This window comes from Homo sapiens, chromosome 12 (genome assembly GCF_000001405.40).
Source record: "Homo sapiens chromosome 12, GRCh38.p14 Primary Assembly".
Lineage (NCBI taxonomy): Eukaryota > Metazoa > Chordata > Mammalia > Primates > Hominidae > Homo > Homo sapiens.
In genome coordinates this window covers 45,885,578-45,908,359 of record NC_000012.12, presented here as the reverse complement: position 1 = coordinate 45,908,359, position 22,782 = coordinate 45,885,578, and the positions used below count along the sequence as shown (strand labels likewise).

At 38.0% G+C, this 22,782-nt stretch overlaps 1 protein-coding gene across 2 annotated transcripts in view; it reads right to left on the bottom strand.

Moving 5' to 3' along the window:
* ARID2 (AT-rich interaction domain 2) overlaps positions 323–22,782 on the bottom strand; it is a 178,332-nt gene continuing 155,872 nt past the window's right edge. Inside the window, exons 17-21 of one of the 2 annotated variants that reach the window (NM_152641.4) lie at positions 16,442–16,580; positions 16,264–16,349; positions 14,817–14,940; positions 14,639–14,730; positions 323–3,426 (exon numbers count right to left, since the gene is read on the bottom strand). In NM_152641.4, the coding sequence (NP_689854.2) occupies positions 3,282–3,426; positions 14,639–14,730; positions 14,817–14,940; positions 16,264–16,349; positions 16,442–16,580 (586 nt within the window). In that variant the 3' untranslated portion in view covers positions 323–3,281. Of the gene's footprint in view, positions 3,427–14,441; positions 14,731–14,816; positions 14,941–16,263; positions 16,350–16,441; positions 16,581–22,782 lie in introns of those variants that run through there. The other variant, NM_001347839.2, reaches the window with a different exon arrangement.

The following is a 22,782-nucleotide window of genomic DNA, read 5'->3' as shown; positions in this document are numbered from 1 at the left end:
AATTAGACAGTGGTACTGTCTTCATTTGTTTTGTTGCCTCTGGAGAAGGCTAGTGTAGTTGTCGTATGACTGACTGCTGTATGAGTCTGAGAAGAGTCAAGCAGTATGAAAGTGATCGGCTAAAATTTCCTAATAGATACTGGATTTTGTTCTCATTTAACTTACTATTTGGTAACAGTGACAGTGCCAGGTGTCCCACGTGGTTAACCCCATAGCTCCACTTCTGCTCTTTAGCAGCTTCTGCTTTGCATCATGTTTCCTCTGTTTGGTATTTAACAGCAGTGGTTAAGATCAGGACAGAAGTCACTTATCCAAAACATTCTCATTTTAAAAATCATTTTATTGTCATTTCATGGTTAAAAAAACATACATGACATGACTATAAAGTAATGAGACGAGTTCTCAGGTGTGGGTTGGATTACTGAGTCTCATTAATATATAGTCACAATCCTGACTTGAGCTTGGAAGAAAAATATGCCTTCGCTATATGATTATCAATTTTGTTACTTAAAATTTATTGAGTGCCAACAGAGCACTAGGCACATATATAACACAGAATTATACAGTCTCTATGTTGTAGACTATATTATTTACATAGATTTCTCAAAGATAACATTAAAGCATGTATTTACAGAACTTTAGACAAAAATAACAATACTGTAAATCAGCAAGTTTCTGTCTAGCAAGGAGCACCTTTTCATGAATGAGAGGGTTTTGCAGAACTTATTGTGCAAAAGCACTTTAATTCCATTACACAGCAAGTCCATATTATTATATAGTTCTATAAAGCTATAAGAAGAAAAACCTAAGTGGGAAGCCATGATCAGTTTCATTAGGTCAAACGCATTTAGGAAATTCTCTGCTGAGACTGAAGCTTAAAAGGCTACAGTCATATTTACATATTATAGCAGAAAAGCTAGAACTACAGCATGCAATTCAATGAGGTGGAAGAATGGTGAATATGAAAACCATTTTTCTAAACCTGCAGTTTGTTCTCTTTTCTATTAATTTAATTACCACTGCAGTTTCTGATTTTGAGAAGACATTATCTTTCAAATAAACGTTGTTGCACAAATTTACTTTTTAAAAGAGATTTTTGGATAAGTACGGTGAATAGAAAATTCCCCATATGATGTCAACTACCAGGTGCTTGTAAGTTTGAGGGCTCTGAAGGCCATCCTAGGGATACCCACATGATTTCAGCGGTGTCTGTTGGGCAGTGCCAGTCTTGGAAGGTGGGCCAAGCATAAATTCCACAACCTTATAACTAATATTAGATGAAGTTTCTCAAACATTCCTTTGAGACATGGCAGGACAGCGCCAGGGATCCTCCTTCAGGAAGAAACTAGATTTTACATTGGTACTAATTCAATCAAAATATTTAAAACATTTTTAATATGGAAACTGAGGCTTTTTCACTCTAAGAATCTGCCTCCAAATTCAAGCTGAAGATTTGGATACACTGTGATTCTGAATAAACAGTCAAGAAACACAACATCAAACAATAAAAGCTTTTAGCCAAATGTACAGTATCCAGTAAAAAAAGGCATATTGAGCTTTAACTGCATCAATCATTTGCTGTTCTCTACATTTGCTCTGCATTATAACAAGATGAAAAATAAATACTTGGTTAATCTGCTTATTTCATGCAAATTTGTCATGTAAAGGACCTCTCTTATTTGTTCTCTATTTAATATGTTATCAATCAACATATAATCAAATAGGTAGGTGACCGTTATACCTTGCCTTCAGCTGAATTTAGAATTCTCTCTATATTTTTAAGATGTCTTAAGCATACTCAGAAATGAAGGACTCAAGAAAATGTTCAGTCTTTTATTTAAAAACTATAAACAGTCACCAAAGTAAATAAAGCCATTCTATAACATAAACTGTTAGGTCTATATTTTTTACTGCACATCCTAAGGACACAGCAGAAATGGTGGTTGGGAGGCCTTCCACATTTTTGGATGCTAATAGAACAGGCAATAGGCAGTTATAAATGGATACATTTCACGCTGGGGGAAAAAAGACAATTTAAGGAAGTGAGCAGTTTCTGAGCAGGAATGTGGTACAGTATTAAGAATGGAAGAATAATACAATAAAATTCCACACTATATTAAGATAGAAAAAGTAGTGAAGAAAATATCATACCTGCACATAATGCATATATAACACAGGAGAAAACCTGTATAAAATTCCATGTATTTAAACCAATTTACAAATACAAAAAATTCTGTCCAAGCTCTGAGCTTGTACACGACAAACGTTTACAGTGGATACATGTTAAGGAAAACCAAAAAATACCTTCAAATAGTTTTTCTTCTAAAAAATGACATGAGATATATTATTCCATACTCTTTCAGCCAGCAAAATGAGTTCTACAAGGTGTATAATACAAAAAAAAAAAGAAAAAAAAAAAGAAAAAAGAAAAAAAAATCACAGTTCCACAAAACTGTTTTGACTTTACAGCATCAGTACCTTTGCAGAAGTATTTACACAAATTTAAAGAACATTCATCCACTGCATAGAATATATCACAATTACTTACAATTGACAGGAAAGTCTAGAAAACTTTAGAACCTACCAATAATGCTTCTAGGACACCACAGAATGTATTTCCAGTGGCTGCAGTGGCATGAAAGGTATTCATTCTATTCACAAATATTTACAAGATCTATTCAGACTGGTAAATTTTTATGATAATAAATAAGTGAAAATATATTGGCTCAAGTAAGAAAACCAAGCTACTGATTTCTAAACAAAACACACGATCCATAGCTAGATATTGGTGGCCCCCTCTGAGATCGGGGGTATAGGTGTGCTGAAACTTTTTTAAATTATTCAAACCAGCTTAAACGGTTTTGTAAATATAAAAATGTGCTCCTTTTTGGATATAGATAAAAATATTTAATGCTTCTATTTCATCTGCTCATGTAGGTTTTACAATATTCCATGTATATTCCAATGTGGATGGTACTGAATTCTGATCATACCAGTTTCCATCAGGATTTATCAGATCTGAAACATCCTGCAGATAAGCTGGTTGACAATCCCACAGCAGTTCTTTTTTTTTTTTCCTTTTTCTTTTTAGATTTTTTTAAACAGAGAACAAAGGGATTCACTCAGAGATCAGAATACGAAGCTTCCTCTCAGCATCATGGGAGGAGATAAAATAATTCATTCTATGGTCTTTGTTCCATTAAGACTTGGTGCTTTCTTCAGTAACAGTATGTGAAATGTGGCTGACTTTGAGTCCCCCACTGTGTAAGTGGAATTATTTTTCACTGCAGCATTTCTGAGTCTTTTTCTTGTTCCTTACTCTGAACTGTAAAATTAAGTTCATAAAGGCATTTGGCAAGGGTGGAGGAAGCTTCCATGTTACTAATGGCTAGCACTGATAAGTTATTTTCATGTCTCTTTAACAATCTGCAAAAAAACATATAGAAGATTGTCAGTCTCCAAGGTCACAGCGATGACTCTTTATCATGAATTTTGCAAGTTTAAAAACTAAAATAGAAACAATACATAGCTCCACACCCCGTAAATGTTAATATAGTATTGCAGGAAGAGAGGGAAGCATCTGGGAAACAACTAGAAGGATAAACTGAGGCTGACTATTACTGTTTGCCTTTTCTGCATAGTACCTTTTTTTTTTTTTTTTTTTTTTTTTGAGAAGGAGTCTCACTCTATTGCCAGGCTGGAGTGTAATGGCGCAATCTTAGCTCACTGCAACCTCCACCTCCCGGGTTCAAGTGATTCTCCTGCCTCAGCCTCCCAAGTAGCTGGGACAACAGGCGTGTGCCACCACGCCCAGCTAATTTTTGTATTTTTAGTAGAGACGGGGTTTCACCATGTTGGCCAGGACGGTCTCGATCTCTTGACCTTGTGATCCACCCGCCTTGGCCTCCCAAAGTGCTGGGATTACAGGCGTGAGCCACCGCGCCCAGCCTCTCCATAGTACCTTTCTAAATATGGAAGGCTGCACAGCAAAATTCTTTTTCAATCTTCATTCATGTTTCTAGAAAATTTAGAAAATGGTGTCAGAAAACAGCTGGAGAGGAACAAAATGGTTGCTTTTAAGGGATGACATGAAATTAAAATTATATTGTAGGTATAATTAAAGCTTCTTAGTCTTCATTAAGTGAAACCAAGCCACATCTAGCTTAACTATATCCTAAATGCCCCATTAGCCATAAAAGCTGTTTTCTAAAAACTTATCAATCTTAAATTTTCTACCCAAAAGATCACAATATTGATGTGGCTATCTATATAATGAGAGATTATAAAAGTGAGCATCATCTAGCTAAAAAAAAGGGATGCTGGGGGCTGAGAAAAATGGTAAAAATCACCCAGAACTGTGGGATGGATAAATGGACAGATATGTGATAAAGCAAGTATACTAAAATATTCATGGTAATAGCTAGGTGGCAGGTATAAAAAATTTCATTGCAAACATTTCAAATTTGCCTATGTGTGAAAAATTTTATATTAAATGTTAAAAAAAAATATCAGCCAGCATGAGATTACCCAGGAACCTTGGTGCCTTCATTAAAATAACTCCGAATAAAAGAAACTACAGGAGAAAAAAAGAGAAGATGAAGACACGTACATTTTGAATTAAAAAACACTGTAGAAAAGAAGTTTATGGAAAAGATGCAAAAATTCAAAATCAAAATTTAATGTAGGGACTGGAGTCACTTTTACTATAGTAAAGCAAAGGAAAAGAAATGAGCAAAAAATGAGACTGAAGAATAAACAGTTGGGCATCTTTTCATGTTTTTTGGGCCATTTCAGTTTTATGTAGTTTCCATATATACATACCATCACACACTCAAAAGAGTGGATAAAATTAAACATTTTAATTACAATACCAAATGTTGGCAAGTACATGGAGTAGCTGAGACTCTCATACATTTCTATAGAGTGTCAATTGATAAAATCATTTTGGAATTGGTTGGCATCATGTAGCAAACTTTTAACATCTTATGAGTCACCAATCCTTTGAAAACACTCAACAGAAATATGTTCCGTATATGGCCAAAAAACAGAATATGGTTTAGAATGTTTATAGCAGCATTACTCTTAATAGCCCCAAATTGGAAATAACCCATTTGCCCATCAAAAGCAGAGAAAAAAATACAATAATATGAATAAAATACTATCATGCAACAACATGAATCAATCTCAAAAATATAATGCTGAAAATAATATTGTATGATTTCACATATAGAAAGTTCAAAATCAGGCAAAATGAACCTCTGGTGTCACAGATCAGGATAGTGGTCCCTTATAGAGAGGAGGATGGAGTAAAGATTGGAGAGAACATGAAAGATTTCAACTGATATTGCTCTATTTCTTAACTTGGACAGATAGTTATATGAGTGGTTCAGTTTGTGATAATTCACTGAACTTTACACTTCTGTTTTATAAAATCTTTATGATTTTCTTTAAAATTTTATTTAACAACTTTTAAAATAAAGTATGAAATTTCTAAGATCTTTCTGGAAAAGAAAAATTAGTTGTACAAAAATTGATTTAAAAATTTACAAAACGCTTTGGGAGGCTGAGGCAGGCGGATCACGAGGTCAGGAGTTCGAGACCAGCCTGGCCAACATGGTGAAACCCCATCTCTACTAAAAATACAAAAAATTAGCTGGGCGTGGTGGCAGGAGCTACTTGGGAGGCTACTAATCCCAGCTACTCAGGAGGCTGAGGCAGGAGAATCGCTTGAACCCAGGAGGCAGAGGTTGCAGTGAGCCGAGACTGCACCACTACACTCCAGCCTGGGCAACAGAGCGAGACTCCATCTCAAAAAAAAAAAAAATTTACAAAATAAAAATAACTTTACAAAGTACAATCAGTTTTTCCCCACAATCAATGAATATTTTAACAAAGAAAGAAAAAAGACTTTAGTTTCAAAAAGTTAACAAAATCATATTTTTCAAAGTGATAGTCACATGTTAAAAAGTATTCTTTTATTTGAATATTGCATGGATAAAACTAGAAAGAATAAACTGAAATCACTAGGATGATTTTAAAGTAACTAATAATTTCCTTTTTGATATAAATGTTTAATTTTTTGAGGTTTTAAAAAATTAAGCACTCACTTTGTTTTGATATAAAACAAAACATGCCTAATTTGTTTTTTTATAAAATGATATTCTTTCAACTTCTAAATTCACATGTTAGTTTTTTGAGATGATTTAACAAAGAATAAATATTGGGTCACTCTAATATCCTTAACAGATAATAAAAATAATTTCTAAGCAACACTAGTAAAAACCATTTAGGATACAAATCAGCTTCTAAGAAAACAAGTTTAAACAAGTTTCTTTCCATTCCCTCCTCAAAACAGTACGAAGGGTAAAAGAAATTTATTTTTTGCTAGGCGTGGTGGCTCACGCCTGTAATCCCAGCACTTTGGGAGGCCGAGGCAGGTGGATCACTTGAGTTGAGGAGTTCAAGACCAGCTTGGGCAATATAGTGAGACACCCTCCCCCACCCCCCACCTTACAGAAAATTAAAAAATGAACTGTTGGGCATGGTGGCATATGCTTGTGGTCCCAATTACTCAGGAGGCTAAGGTGGGAGGATCACTTGAGCCCAGGAGGTTGGAGGCTGCAGTGAGCCATGATGGCCCCACTGAACTCCAGCCTGGGTAACAGAGCAAGACTCTTGTCTTGGGGGGCGGAGGATAAGCAAACCCCCAAATCCTCAGAAATTTGAGGAATTACAAGGAAAGAGTAACCATACACAGATTGGGAAAAAACTACAAAAGTAGAGGTGTTAATATCCTCAGAGAGATGAGAAGACACCACTAAGAACAGGATGTTATAAAATAGTAACAACTGGCAACCAATAACAAGCTCTTAAAAATTAAGGAAATTTCCGGCTGGGGGTGGTGGCTCATGCCTGTAATCCCAGCACTTTGGGAGGCTGAGGAGGGCGGATCACGAGGTCAGGAGATCGAGACCATCCTGGCTAACTAGGTGAAACCCTGTCTCTACTAAATATACAAAATATTAGCGGGGCATGGTGGTGGGCGCCTGTAGTCCCAGCTACTCCAGAGGATGAGGCAGGAGAATGGCGTGAACCTGGGAGGTGGAGCTTGCAGTGAGCCAAGATCGTGCCACTGCATTCCAGCCTGGGCAACGGAGCGAGACTCTGTCTCAAAAAAAAAAAAAAAAAAAAAAAAAAAAAAAAAATTAAGGAAATTTCCAAAAAATAGATTAAACAGAGAGAAAACAGAAAGCTAAAAGAGAAAAGAAAAAGAAACATACCAGAAAAGTTCCCATTACTGAAGGATATAAATCTCCAGATTGAAAGGACCCACCAAAATGAAATAATGACTTCAATGAAAACAACAACAAAACACCCACCGAAGACACATCATCATCAAGAAACCTCAGAATATTCAGAAATAAAGAGATCACAACAGTTTCTAGAGGGGGGAAAACAGATCACATACAAAGAAATGGGAACCAGAATGTCACTAGTCTTCTCAACAGCAAAGCTGGTGCTAGAATACACCAAAGCAATGCCCTCAGGTTTTTAAAGAAAAATGATTTTTCAATCTAGAATGTTATGTACAGCCAACAACTATCAAGAGTAAGGGTAGATTACAGACATTTTTAGGCATGTAGGGTCTTAAATGATTGAAGGATATGCTTTTGCATGAAGAGAGTAAAACAAGAAAAGAAAATAAATGGGTTTCAACGAAAAGGGATTCAACATGGAGGTAATTCCTGAGAAGAGGTGTGTACCAGGTCCAGAGAGCAACCTGTCTAGACTGCAGAAGAGCAGTTTGCAAGGAAAAAAATATTCTAAAAATGAAAATTTGACAGAGGTTTAACAACTGTGTTTCAGTATGTGGACAGCTTATTGACAGGCTTGAAAGATACTGATTAAAATATATGGTACAATCAGTATTAGGCCCGTAAAAAGCCAAGCAAAAAGCATGGCACTCATGCTTTTTATGGGCCTAATACAGAGACAAAAAAGCTGGGTATGGTGGCTCACACCTGTAATCCCAGCCCATTGGGAGGCCAAGGTGGGTGGATCACTTGAGGTCAGGAATTGAGGACCAGCCTGGCCCACATGGTGAAACCCCATCTCCACTAGAAATAAAAAAATTAGCCAGGCGTAGTAGTGGGAGCCTGTAGTTCCAGCTACTCAGGAGGCTGAGGCAGGAGAATCACTTGAACCTGGGAGGCAAAGGTTGAAATGAGCCGAGATCACGCCACGGAACTCCAGTCTGGGTGACAGAGCGAGACTCTGTCTCAAAAAATAAAAATAAAAAAGAGAAAGAAAAACATAATAGTATAGCACTTGGCTCAACATCAAACAATCCAACAATATCTGATTTAAGATTTAATCAACGACTGTGATGGAACAATAATATGATGAGGTAAAAGTAAAGTGGGAAGAAGAGAGGTTTATCCAATTTCTTAAAAGGGAAGTCAATAAATGTATAAAATTAGATAAGTTAAGAAATAGTAACATAGACATATTTTGAAATATGAAAGCAATTGCACTAGCTCAAATTGTTGCAGGCTCCCCCCTTGGAGGTGGGAGGGGGGGGTAAAGTAGGGAACTATTTGGTTATATATATATATATAAAACCATATATATATAACCATATATATATAACCATATATATATATAACCATATATATATAACCATATATAACCATATATATATATATAACCAAATATATATATATATAACCAAATATATACATATATATATATTTTGAGATGGAATCTCGCTCTGTCGCCCAGGCTGGAGTGCAGTGGTGGGATCTCGGTTCACTGCAAGCTCCGCCTCCTGTGTTCACGCCATTCTCCTGCCTCAGCCTCCTGAGTAGCTGGGACTACAGGCGCCCGCCACCACGCCCAGCTAATTTTTTTGTATATTTTACTAGAGATGGGGTTTCACTGTGTTAGCCAGGATGGTCTTGATCTCCTGACCTCGTGATCTGCCCGCCTTGGCCTCCCAAAGTGCTGGGATTACAGGTGTGAGCCACCACGCCCAGCCTGGTTATAACTTTTGTAGCACTTACTTTTTTTTTTTTTTTTTTTTTTTTTTTGAGACAGAGTCTTGCTCTTTCGCCAGGCTGGAATGCAGTGGTGTGATCTTGGCTCACCGCAACCTCCGCCTTACGGGTTCAAATGATTCTCCTGCCTCAGCCTCCTGAGTAGCTGGGACTACAGGTACGCGCCACCACGCCCAGCTAATTTTTGTATTTTTAGTAGAGATGGGGTTTCACCATGTTGGCCAGGATGATCTCAATATCTTGACCTCGTGATTCACCTGCCTCAGCCTCCCAAAGTACTGGGATTACAGGCATGAGCCACCACGCCCCGCCTTGATTTTTTAAAATTTATTTTTTCTAACACCTTCATTGAGGTATAATTCACACACTATACAATCTATTTATTTATTTGAGATGCAATCTTGCTCTGTCACACAGGCTGGAGTACAGTGGCATGATCTCAGCTCACTGCAACATCCGCCTCCTGGGTTCAAGCGATTCTCCTGCCTCAGCCTGAGTAGCTGGGATTACAGGCATGCGCCACCATGCCCAGCTAATTTTTATATTTTTTAGTAGAGATGGGGTTTTGCCATGCTGGCCAGGCTGGTCTCAAACTCCTGACCTCGGATGATCCGCCCGCCTCAGCCTCCCAAAGTGCCGGGATTATAGGCATAAGCCACCGCGTCTGGCCCAATCCACCCATTTAAACAAAAATTCTCTCGTTTTTAGTATATTCACGGAATTGTGCAACCATCACCACAATTCTAGAATATTTTCATCATCTTTAAAAGAAACCCAATACCCATTAGCAGTCACTTCCAATTTTCCCCAAATCCTTCCTTTGTTGTGTTTTAGTTTTTTTCCATTGTGGTAAAACATACATAACATAAAACGTACTATTTTAACCACTTTTAAGTGTACAGTTCAGTGGCATTAAGTACATTCATACTGTTGTACAACCATCACCACTATCCATCTCCACAACTTTTTCATCATCTCATAATGGAACTCTCTACCCACTTAACAGTAACTCTCCATTCCTGAACTACCCCCAGCCCCAGTAACCACTGTTCTACTTTCTGTCTCTATGCATTTGACTCTTCTAGGTATCTCATAAGTGAAATCATACCATATATTTGTCCTTTTGTGTCATGCTAATTTCACTTGGCATGATGTTCTCAAAGTTTATTCATATGTAGCATATGTCAGAATTTTTTTTCCTTTGTAGGCTGGGCTCAGTAGCTCACGCCTGTAATCCTAGCACTTTGAGGGGCCGAGGCAGGTGGATTGCTTGAGCCCAGAAGTTCAAGACAACCCTGCACAACATGGTGAGACCTCGTCTCTACTAAAAACACAAAAACTGAGATGGGAGGATCACCTGAGCCTGGAGAGGTCAAGACTGCAGTGAGCCATGATTGCTCCGCTGCAACCCACCCTGGGCAACTGAGTGAGACCCCGTCTCAAAGATAAAAAAAAAAACCTCAAAAACTCATAGAACTGTACACTAAAAAGCGTGAACTTTACTATAAGTAAATTGTTTTTTCCTTTGTAATACTGAGTAATATTCCATTGCATGTACATGCCACATTTTGTCTATCATCGATGATAGACACTTAGGTTGCTTCCACACCAATTTTTGTCTCTTATGAGTAATAGCCATCAATATTGGTGTAAACATATCTTTCAATTCCCTGCCTTCAATTCATTTGTGAATATACTCAGAAGTGGGACTGCTGAATGAAACAGGTAATTCTGTTTGTTTTTTTAAGGAACTGCCCTGTTTTACACAGTAGTTAGGCATTCTCTATATATTCTGAATATTAGTTTCTTCTCAGACAGGTGACTTGCAATTATTTTGTCTAATTCTATGGGTTGCCTTTTTACTCTGTTGATAGTATCCTTTGATGTACAAGCTTCAAATTTTGACGAAGTACAGTTTGTCTGGTTTTCCTTTTATTGTCTGTGTCTTTGGTGTCATATCCCAAGAAATCACTGCCAAATCCAATATTATAAAGCTTTTGCCCTGTGTTTTCTTCTAAGAGTCTTACGGTTTTATATATGGTACAGGGTAAGTGTCCAACTTCATTGTTTTGATGTACATATCCAGTTTTTCAAATGCCATTTGTTGAAAAGACTGTCTTTTCCTCATTGAATGAAGAATTGTCATACTTATGGAAAATCATTTGACCAAATATGTGAGGACTTACTTTTTGGGCCCTCTCTTCTATTCCATTGGTCTCTATGGCTGTCTTTATGCCAGTACCACGCTGTTTTGATTATGTTAGCTTTGTAGTAAATCAGAAGTGGGAGTCCTGCAACATTGTTCTTTCTCAAGATTGTTTCTGCTATTCAGGGTCTCTTGAGATTACGTATGAATTCTAGTACGAATTTTTCTTTTTTTGAGTAAGATTATCACTGTATTTATTTTCCTATATTTTTTCTATAGCTTCAATGTTTTATCTTCAAAATGAAAAGAAAAACATCCCCAAATTTAGAACTGGATCATTTGGCCCTTTCTCTTCTTTATCTCCTCCCAGTTCAAAATGCTTGCATCTCTTAATGGCCAGCATCCTGTTGATCTGCTGTTAGGCTCAACACATTCCACCCTTAGCATAATCGTGGTTTTAGCCTTTGTATTAGTCCGTTTTCACGCTGCTGATAAAGACATACCCAAGACTGGGCAATTTACAAAAGAAAGAGGTTTATTGGACTTTTAGTTCCACGTGGCTGGGGAGGCCTCACAATTATGGTGGAAAGTGAAAAGTACGTCTCACATGGTGGCAAACAAGAGAGCTTTTGCAGGCACACTCCCTTTTTTAAAACCATCGGATCTCGTGAGACTTATTCACAATAATGAGAACAGCACAGGAGAGACGTGCCCCCATGATTCAATTACTTCCTGCCGGGTCCCTCCCACAACATGTGGGAATTCAAGAGGAGATCTGGGTGGGGACACAGCCAAACCGCATCAGCCTTCTTTTGGAAAACTGACTTTGTCTGCCCACCACAGCCACTCTGCTTCCAATCATAGCACCTCTTTCCCTGGGCATACAGGGAATCCTTGCCCTTCTCATACTGTGTCACTTTTGTAAGGCTGATGCTTACCACACTTCTTACACAAGGTTCTTTGGGTTTTAGGCACATTGACCATCTCCGCAGCAGAGCTGCCCTGTCTATACGATGAAAACAGGAAACTGCATCTGCAACCCTCACCTCGTGTCACTCACACATAACTGGATTTTTCTATTTTTTCAAAAATCATTGGGATGTTGACAGGGGTTGCACTGAATCTGTAGAATACTTTGGTAGTACTGACATCTCACCTAAATTAAGTCTTCCAATCCATGAACATGAGAAATCTTTCCAGTTGTTTATATATTCTTTAATTTCTTTCAGTAATATTTTGTAGTTTTCAGTTTACAAATCTTCTCTTTGGTTAAGACAACTCCTAAGTATTTTACTCTTTTTGATGCTATTGTAAATGGAATTACTGGCCAGGTGCGGTGGCTCACACCTGTAATCCCAGCACTTTGGGAGGCCGAGGCAGGTGGATCACGAGGTCAGGAGTTCAAGACCAAACTGGCCAACATGGTGAAACTCTGTCGCTACTAAAAATACAAAAATTAGCTCGGCATAGTGGCATGAGCCGATAATCCCAGCTACTCGAGAGGCTGAGGCAGGAGAATCGCTCAAACCCAGGAGGCAGAGGTTGCAGTGAGCCGAGATCGTGCCACTGCACTCCAGCCTGGGCGATAGAGCGAGACTCTGTCTCAAAAAATTCCAGATCAGAACTCTAGGAGAAAATGAATTTCCCACCACCTGTCTATCAATCAAATACTTACTGAATGACTATCATATTGCCAACACTATGCTAGGCACTAAAGATACAAAGATCAAAATACTGAATCCCTACCTTCAAAGAGCTCATCATCTAAGGTGGTAACATGCAACACATGGGGCATTAGGGAATATGTACTGTGCTCCAGGTCAGGGTTAAGGTAGTAAGGAAGACATCAGGAAAGGAAGCAGTAACCACTGAGTTGAATCTTAAAGGATGAATAGGAGGTAGAGGTTATAATGTGTTGGGCACTGTGCTAAGTGTTCAAGCTACAAAGATTAATCAGAGGAAGTCTCTGCACATAGTTCTGTAAGGGAAAAAGCCACATAAAAAAACATTTTCAAAACAATGAGATTAAAAGTTTTAAGACAGACATGTTATAAAAATAGAGGAGAACAAGCTCAGTAGGGAAGGGGAATAGAGCAAAGGAAAAGCTACACAAAGAAACTCATGTCTGAACTGAATCATGAAGGATAAGCAGATATTCAATAGGTGGGCAACGCAGGGAGGAGGGCATTCTAGGCAGGGAGAATAGTATGAGCATTGGAACAAAGGTACCAAGTGTGACTTGAGAGAGCCCAATGTGATTAGGAACTTGCATGTGGCTTAGTTTCACTGAAATGTAGGCTATGAAACAAAAAAGAGGTTAGAAGGGAAATAAAGTAAGAAAAGTAAAAAGAAATGTTATGAACTAAATCATGAAGATACTGGTATTCTCATATGGTTACTAAACCTTTATATTTCTTTTTTTTCTAAAAAAAACTTGGCTCAAGTGTTAAAAATTTTCCTGTTCATTTATACTTGATTAAATAAATATAGTAACATTTGTCATTGCAAATACTTTTCAACTTTAGCTTTAAATGTTATTCACCTTCCACTTAGAGAAATCTTAAAACAATATAGTCAAATTCATTTTCTTTTTATAATTGATACCACTATTTTTATGCTTAGAAAATTCAGTTTAAAGGTCATTGCAAAAAAAATATCATAAAAGACGTAAGACAAGGTAAAATAGTGGTGTAGGGAAGAACTAACATGGATTCAAAATACATTAAGGAGATGGAACTAATATTATGTGAAAGGGAGGGCCTGAGATAGAAAGTGACTATCAGGAACACAAGATGCATCTGAGGACAATTTCGCAGAGAGGCGGCCCAAGACTGGTCAATTGAAGATGTAGGAGGAATTCTAGAAAAGTAACTAAGGAAGACAAGGTATTGACAGAATATTCTATATTTGCTCTCTCACGAATTAATGAGTTATCCCTCCTAGTTTCTGTAGATCTACAAAATCCTGGGTTTTCTTTTGCTTAAATCCATTGGAAAGTTAAGTTTTAAAACTTCAGAGTATTATACACATACCTTAACATTATTTATGCCATTGATGGGTACATGAAAATGCCAGGTGTCAAACTGAATTTCATTTGGACTCCACGTGATTCAAATGATCAAATTCCTTTGTTTTCCCCAATAAACTCCTAAGTTTCCTCTTTAGTACAGCTGCTTTTTGTTCTAAATTATATGGTCAGTAAGACAAATTAACTTAATAAAACAACTTAAGAGACCACCTTTTGGTTGTTTTAACTTCTATTTATTTTTGACTTTTAAGAGCTCATCATGGCCTGACCTAGGCATAAACTTTTGGATGTATTTGCAAAATTGATGAGAAAAACAATGAAGAAAATACAGTTATCTAATTTTATTAACTTATATGTAAAAATAAAATAAACTAAATTCACTTTGGCTACAGAAAACATATTACTCACCTGCGACCACATTCTGAATATTTACCAATATTTTTTAATATTAAGGCAGCTGTTAGTCGGATGTGTTTAGTTATTGGTCCCTCTTTTTCATCCTTAAAAAGAAAGGAAAAAAAAGAATAAAGATCTAAATCATACAGGACTCAGACTTTTACAGATAAGGGTTTCAAGGCATGCTTACTGTAAAATCTCGAAAGACAAGGTTTCTTGATCCTCTCCTCAGAGCCATAAGTGCAGCACTGGGATGATTCACAATGGCCTTTTGTGCTCTAGGAGTTGAGCTTGTGCCCCCTACAGTTGGCTGCCTAAATTGATCAGAGAGAGAGAGAGAGAGAGAATTAACGTGATACTGCAGACAGACTGACAACTATGACCACCCTGCCAACCCCTTTAAGCTGGTTATTTTAAAATCGTGTTTACAGGGTGACTAAAGGTCCAATGGTCTAGCATTAACGTTTATGCTCTGTGACAGCCTAGGCAAAGGGGCGCTTAGTATCAAGGTAAAGTTTCAAGTCTTTTATTTTCCAATCTATCAATTTTAAAGCAAACAGATGTTCCATCTTTAAAGTTACTGTATTGGGTAAGTATGCAATCAAGACAAATTCAACGTAGCATCGAAGTTATAGCCTTCTCATCTTTGAATATAATGTGAACATTTTAACAAAGAAGAAAAGTCTACAATTTTTGCTACAAATTATTTCTAAATGGTACCTAAGAGTAAAGTAATATTACCTAAGAATGTACTGACACTGGTCATCCAAGAAAACATGGTATGATAACATGGAATTATGCTAAATACCACATTTCCAACTATTACTTACATATCTTAAATTTCATTATTAGTTTATAATTTCAATCAATCCTTTCACTATAGTTCTGTTATTTATGAAAGATACAGAATGGAAGAACTGCAGAGATGATTTTATGTAAAATAAGATTCAAACTACTGTAGATTTCTTTCACCAAGCAGATATAGTGCATCATTATCTGTGTGCTCTGGTGAGATAGCAATGGAGATGCTGACTCGTATATGAGGAAACCCTATTTCTGACACTGTAACTGGCTGCATGACTTTCAATATTTCTTTTCACATCTGAAAAGCAGGGGTATTTCTGATATATTTTTACTAATTCTGAATATTAAATTATTTTAAGCTAATTCTGAATATTAAATAAGATAACCTGAAAACAATCTTTAAACTGTAAACTAGTGTATGTTTATATGTGTGTGTATATATATATATATGATAATGACAAGATATGAAATCTCTTTGCCATTATCAAATAGATGATTACTTTTACAGAAAAAAGAACCATACACAGTACTTTTAGTTTACAAAGCATTTCTCATATATCATCTGTCATTACTTCCAATGACTGACTAGTCTACAAAACAGAATCAGTGTTAGAGCTGAAAGGTAACTTACAGACCACATTGTCCAGCCAAAAGGAAAAGTGATGCCAAGAGAATCTAAGCAATTTGAACAGGGTCACATTGCTGGTTCATGGCAGAGCTGGACTAGAACCCAGGTTTCTGGTCTCCTAATATGCTAAGTTGCGTTTCATTTTCTTGTGTTTTGCCTAGTTTCTTTTTGTATGTACAACAGGAAGTAAACTCATTTTCCTTACTTGGTAGAAGACTTCTGACTTCCTGCTTGTCCTGGTTCATCTTGTTTTAATCCTGCAAGTAGGGCATCCTTTGAACAGTGCTTATCCTTTTTGAGGAAGAGGAAGCAAGAGAATGGCACGTCAAAATCTTTAATGCAGTCAAATGAGTTACTGATCAAATAGTATTTAAAAAGTGTACCTGCAAGTGGGTAATAAAAGAAAACCGCTGTCGCTGAAAAGGCTCACAACCTTCCCAAAGACACTGCCCTGGATATACATCTTTTCCTCCATGTTCAGTTGCTGCATGGTAGAAAACCTGTGAGGGTGTCTGAAACCACCTATAAAAAATAAAAGTAGTAGACACTTGGATGTATTCAAGTATATTTTGAAACTATTTCAAAAATTTCTCTGCTTATATTTCCAAGTGGAATCATCAGTTGTACTGAACACTTTTGGTAAATTGTTTTAACATCCCTTATTCATAATTCCCTACCTTCAATGAAGGCTGACTAAAAATCTCTTAAAAGTGAATGAAATATCATTAAAAACACCATAGAACATTATCTTATAAACAAATACCATACTCTACTGTACTTTCATAAATTTCTCAAGCATTTACTAGATTTCATATTACATATAATAACTCAAGCATATCCAATCCAACAGTTCAAATTCTATAAGTTTTAGTAAGTCTGCCTTTTAAGTTCACATTTATATGTCTGTCCATGTTTTTAAGTCCCATCTCTCACTCCTCCAGCACATACCCTATGATGTCTGAGTGGGCATGTGGCAAAGCACACAAAACTGAAGAAAGTCAGATTTTATTCTCCTTTATTAGACAGTAGGGAAATGAGAGAGAACAGTGGAATCTAGACAGCAAAGAATGTATTAAAAGGCTTCAATTACTAATGAGTAACTCAAATATTTGTGCAATCAATTTTTTTTTTTTTTTTTGAGACGGAGTCTCGCTCTGTCGCCAGGCTGGAGTGCAGTGGTGCGATCTCGGCTCACTGCAACCTCCACCTCCTGGGTTCAAGTGCTTCTTCTGCTTCAGCCTCCCGAGTACCTGGGACTACAAGCACATGCCACCATGCGCGGCTAATTTTTGTATTTTTAGTAGAGACGGGGTTTCACCATGTTGGCCAGGCTGGTCTCGAATTCCTGACCTCATGATCTGCCCGCCTTGGCCTCCCAAAGTGCTGGGATTACAGGTATGAGCCACAGCACCTGGCCATAATCAATATCTTTAAGATCTACAGCAAAGATCTCTTAGGATTTGACTTTTTATGGCTGTCATATTAACATATCTATATTTGAACCAGTTTTTAACGTGTAACAAATATCTAGTATCCCAAATTAATATTCCTTCAGGAATGACTAATATTTTAAAATAAAATTTAATCAAAAAAGTAATTAAATACTGAATTATATAACACAATGTCAGAAAGAGTAAGTTATATATTTAATTTCCATCACATGCATCTATATAAATACCTACAAAAGTATATTGTGAGGCTAAAATCAGTAAATACATTTTGTTTTAGAATTTCGTTTAATTCTCAGAACTCACAATGCTATTTCATTAATATGAAATATGATTTGAGTTCTGTTATACATACTAGTTATTGCCACAAGGAGGCATTTCTTGTTAAGACATTACCTAAATACTATTAAATCATTAATTGCAATATAAAGTCTGCACACACGTGCACACATATACACAGAAACCAAAACCCAAATGTACTACTACTCACTATTCACAATGTCTATTTCTAAACTATTTTTCAATACATACAATTAATCAAGTTTATTTGCAACAATAAAAATGGTGAATGTAGCAGCCATAGGAAAAAGGATAGCACTTCCTTAAATCAATTTTAATTACTAAATATACACAACTATGTATGATTTTAAAACAGATATTTTTAAGTGTTCATTAGTCTATCTGTCCTCAGAGTCTATTTTTCTCTCCAATCTACTACTCTTTTCTTCATTCCAAGTCTATTTTCTCTCTATCTAACTACTCTAGTCATAAAAGCTATTCATTGATTGTTGTGGTGGTTCAAGGTAAAGTTCTAATCTAACTATGAATGAAGCTGGTTGCAATAATCACATGAAGGTGAAAAGTAGTTAAGGGTTCCAAATCCATTAAATGAACTACCTGAATTTTATTTATTTATGAGACAGAGTCTTGCTCTGTCACCCAGGCTGGAGAGCAATGGTGCGATCTCGACTCAATGCAACTTCTGCCTCCCGGGTTCAAGCGATTCTCCTGCCTCAGCCTCCCAAGTAGCTGGGACTACAGGCACCTGCCACCACGCCCAGCTAATTTTTGTATTTTTAGGCAAGACGGGGTTTCGCCATGTTGGCCAGACTGGTCTCGAACTCCTGACCTTGTGATCCACCCGCCTCGGCCTTCCAAAGTGTTGGGATTACAGGCGTGAGCCAGCCACCGTGCCTGGCCGATACCTGAGTTTTAAAAGTTTACGTGTAATATTGGAGAGTTAAACTCTAAAGAAATGTAAAGCAAATAAATACTGAGTTTTCAGAACATTACGGATATTTATTGGATGGGTTGGGAGAAGTGTAAGTGATGAAGCAGAATGCTACCATTTACTGTCATGTCTAGAAAACTGTTCTTAAAACTACTCCAGCAATCACCTCCACTCCCTATCAGCAACCCGCAAATCATAAACAATATGTTCATTTAAGGGAACTGGGAAAATTCAAGAGTATACAAAATAATAAAAATAAAAATTACCTGTGATATATAGCCAAGTATACTAAAATGCTAACATTTTAGTATACTTTCTTTAAGCCTTCTCTGAGTATGTATGTGTTTTTAAACAAAACTGGGACTGTTACTGATATAATTTTATATACTGCTGCCACTCCAGAGTAATATGATACCTTTGTACAAATTATTATTATTATTTGAGACAGAGTCTCACTCTGTTGCCCAGGCTGGAGTGCAGGGGCACAATCTTGGCTCACTGCAACCTGTATCTCCTGAGTTCAAGTGTTTCTTTTGCCTCAGCCTCCCGAGTAGCTGGGATTACGTGCACCACAATGCCTAATTTTTGTATTTTTTTAGTAGAGACAGGGTTTCGGCATGTCGGCCAGGCTGGTTTCAAGCTCCTGACCTCAAGTGATTCGCCTGCCTTGGCCTCCCAAAGTGCTGGGATTACAGGTGTGGGCCACCAAGCCCAGCCCCTTTGTACAAATTAAAATAATACTCTTCCTTAAGATACTTTATTGCCTTGTGCTGAAAAATTGTTGTAATAAATATACCACATATGGCACATACAATGTAACTGGATCCCCCTTTGATGTGTACAACCACAGGCAACAGCTCTGGGCAAAAAAGATTCCTCTGAAATGCATTTTACTCACTGAGAATCTAGTTTTAAAGATGGGTGTGAGGCTTAAATTTGATGATATGTATAAATCTATTTGGAAAATAGTAGGCCAAAAATAAATAAGGGCTATTGTCATCATGATCAGTAATAGTAGCAGTAGTGGTGGTAAGGGGTAGTGGAGGTACTGGTAACGTCTTGTCTCTTCACCTGCCCATCTTGTTAATCCTCTACTCTGAGATCTTCTCCACAACTATTCCAAAATTGCCAAGCTTTGCTAAGTAACGTTTGGTCCACCTTCAAGTTAGTGGCCTCCATTAGCAAGCAACACTCACTATCGCTCACAACTACTTTTATTCATTTCTGCTCCTGAAAATATTCTCCATAGAAACTATCTGCAATTCAACTTTGGTTAAATAGTGAGTTTCAATCTTATTTTAGAGCTTGTCTTCCTCTGTACTTGTGTGTATTTGTAAATTTAGAGACAGTATCTTACATTTGTCTCTGAAAAAAATGCTTATTACTGAAAAAATAAGTTCATTTCATTAGAGCTTTTTTTTTTTTTTTGAGACGGAGTCTCGCTCTGTCACCCAGGCTGGAGTGCAGTGGCGCGATCTCGGCTCACTGCAAGCTCCGCCTCCCAGGTTCACACCATTCTCCTGCTACAGCCTCCTGGGTAGCTGGGACTACAGGCGCCCGCCAGCACCCCCAGCTGATTTTTTATATTTTTAGTAGAGACAGGGTTTCACCGTGTTAGCCAGGATGGTCTCAATCTCCTGACCTCGTGATCCGCCCGCCTAGCTTCTTTAACTTTCTTCTGTACATTAGATCTTCAGTCATTATTCATCCTTTCTTTCTCTAGGATCTCAGCCAAATGTAGCTACTATTTCCCTGGTTAACTCCTTCACTTATATATTGGTGAGACAACCAAGTTAAAAGGGCTCCTCAGAGAATCCCTGACCAGCCTCTGCACTGGAAGGACGGGGTGGAGCCTCGGGAAGTTCGTGCCACTTGCAGAAGGGAGATGCCTGGCCACTCCTCTTCCTGTGTGGTAAGCTGGGATTCAATCTGTGAGGTGGAAAACCTGTTAGCAGGACTCCATCTCACTTTGCTGAGTTGTTTTTCCTTTTCCGTTCTCATCCAGTAAATTCCACTCCTCACACTTCCATGTGTCTATGAGCCTAATCTTTCCTGGTTGTGTGAAAAGAACCCGGTTTTTTCCTACAACATTGGATTCTATTGTGTTTCTTCCTAAATTATCCCCTCTTTTGCATCTTTTATCTTTTCCTCTCTTCTGAATCCCACACTTAAGTATATAAAAACAAATGTTATTCTAACTAGAAGCGATAGAAACAACACTTTTTCTTTGATCCTGCTACTTTTTCAAAAGAAAGGAACCAGAATTTATCAATATCTGGCAAAACAATGCAAAATGTAGTATTTAATATAATTACTGTAACAAGTTTTTGACACTTTTCTCTCAGTCACTGGCGATTTAAAATATATATATATTTTTCAGTTACATCATCACTATAATTTATAATAGTTGGTTTCCTGCTTATTATTTAAATCATTGCAGTGAAAGCTCAGGATTAGCTTCTATTCTTCATTTAATTCCCCTTCAGCCAAATTGTATTTTCTTTTATTCCAGTGAAGAGCTGTTTGGTTCAACTGAGCAAATATTCACATAGGCTACTAGGTACAAATTTCCTGAAATGAAAACCCATTTTCTGGGGAGAAATTCAGGTCTGCTGCAGGAATTTGTATAAGTAACAAGGAGCTGAATGTTAATCACCAAGACAATGGGGAAAATGTCTCCAGGGCATGTCAGAGACCTTCATGGCAGCCTCTCCCCAGAGCCCTAGCAGGACAAAATTATTTCCTGGGCCAGCCCCAGGCCCCCATGCTGCCTGCAGCCTAGGGACTTGATGCCCTGCATCCCAGCTGTTCCAGCCATGGCTAAAAAGGGCCAAGGTACAGCTTGGGCTGTAGCTTCAGAGAGTGCAAATCCCAAGCCTTGGCAGCTTTCACGTGGTGTTGAGCCTGTGGGTACATAAAAATCAAAAATTGAGGTTTGGGAACCTCCACCTAGATTTCAGAGGATGTTTGGGAACCTCCACCTAGATTTCAGAGGATGTATGGAAACATCTGGATGTCCAAGCAGAAGTTTGCTGCAGGGGCAGAACCCTCATGGAGAACATCTGCTAGGGCAGGTCAGAGCCCCACACAGAGTCCCCACTGGGACACTACCTAGTGGAGCTGTGAGAAGAGGGCCATCATCCTCCAGACCCCAGAATGGTAGATAAATGAACAGCTTGCACTGTGCTCCTGGAGAAACCGCAGACACTCAATGCCAACCCATGATGGCAGCTGACCGGGGGGGGCACTGTATCCTGCAAAGCCACAGGGGTGGAGCTGCGCAAGGCTGTAGGAGCCCACCTCGTGCATCAGCGTGACCAGGGTGTGAAACATGGAGTCAAAGGAGATCATTTTGGAACTTTAAGGTTTAATGACTACCCTATTGGATTATGGATTTGGATGGTGCCTGTAGCCTCTTTGTTTTGGCCAATTTCTCCCATTTGGAATGGGTATATATACTCAATGCCTCTATCCCACTGTATCTAGGAAGTAACTAACTTGCTTTTGATTTTACAGGCTGATAGGTGGAAGGGACTTTCCTTGTCTCAAATGAGACTTTGGACTTGGACTTTTTGGTTAATGATGGAATGAGCTCAGACTCTGGGGGACTCCTGGAAAGGCATGATTGTGTTTTGAAATGTGAGGACATGAGATTTGGGAGGGGCCAGGGCAGAATGATACGGTTTGGCTGTGTACCCACCCAAATCTCACCTTGAATTGTAGTTCCCATAATCCTTACTTGTCATAGGAGGGACCCAGTAGGAGGTAACTGAATCATGGGGTTACCCCTATGCTGTTCTTGTGATACTGAGTGAGTTCTCATGAGATCTGATGGTTTTATAAAGGGCTTATCCCTGTTTGCTCAGCACTTCTCTCTCCTGCTGCCATGTGAAGAAGGACATGTTTGCTTCTCCTTCTGCCATGATTGCAAGTTTCCTGAGGCCTGCCCAGCCCTGCAGAAGTGTGAGTCAATTAAACCTCTTTCCTTTGCAAATTACCCAGTCTCTGGCAGTTCTTTATAGCAGCATAAGAATGGACAATACAG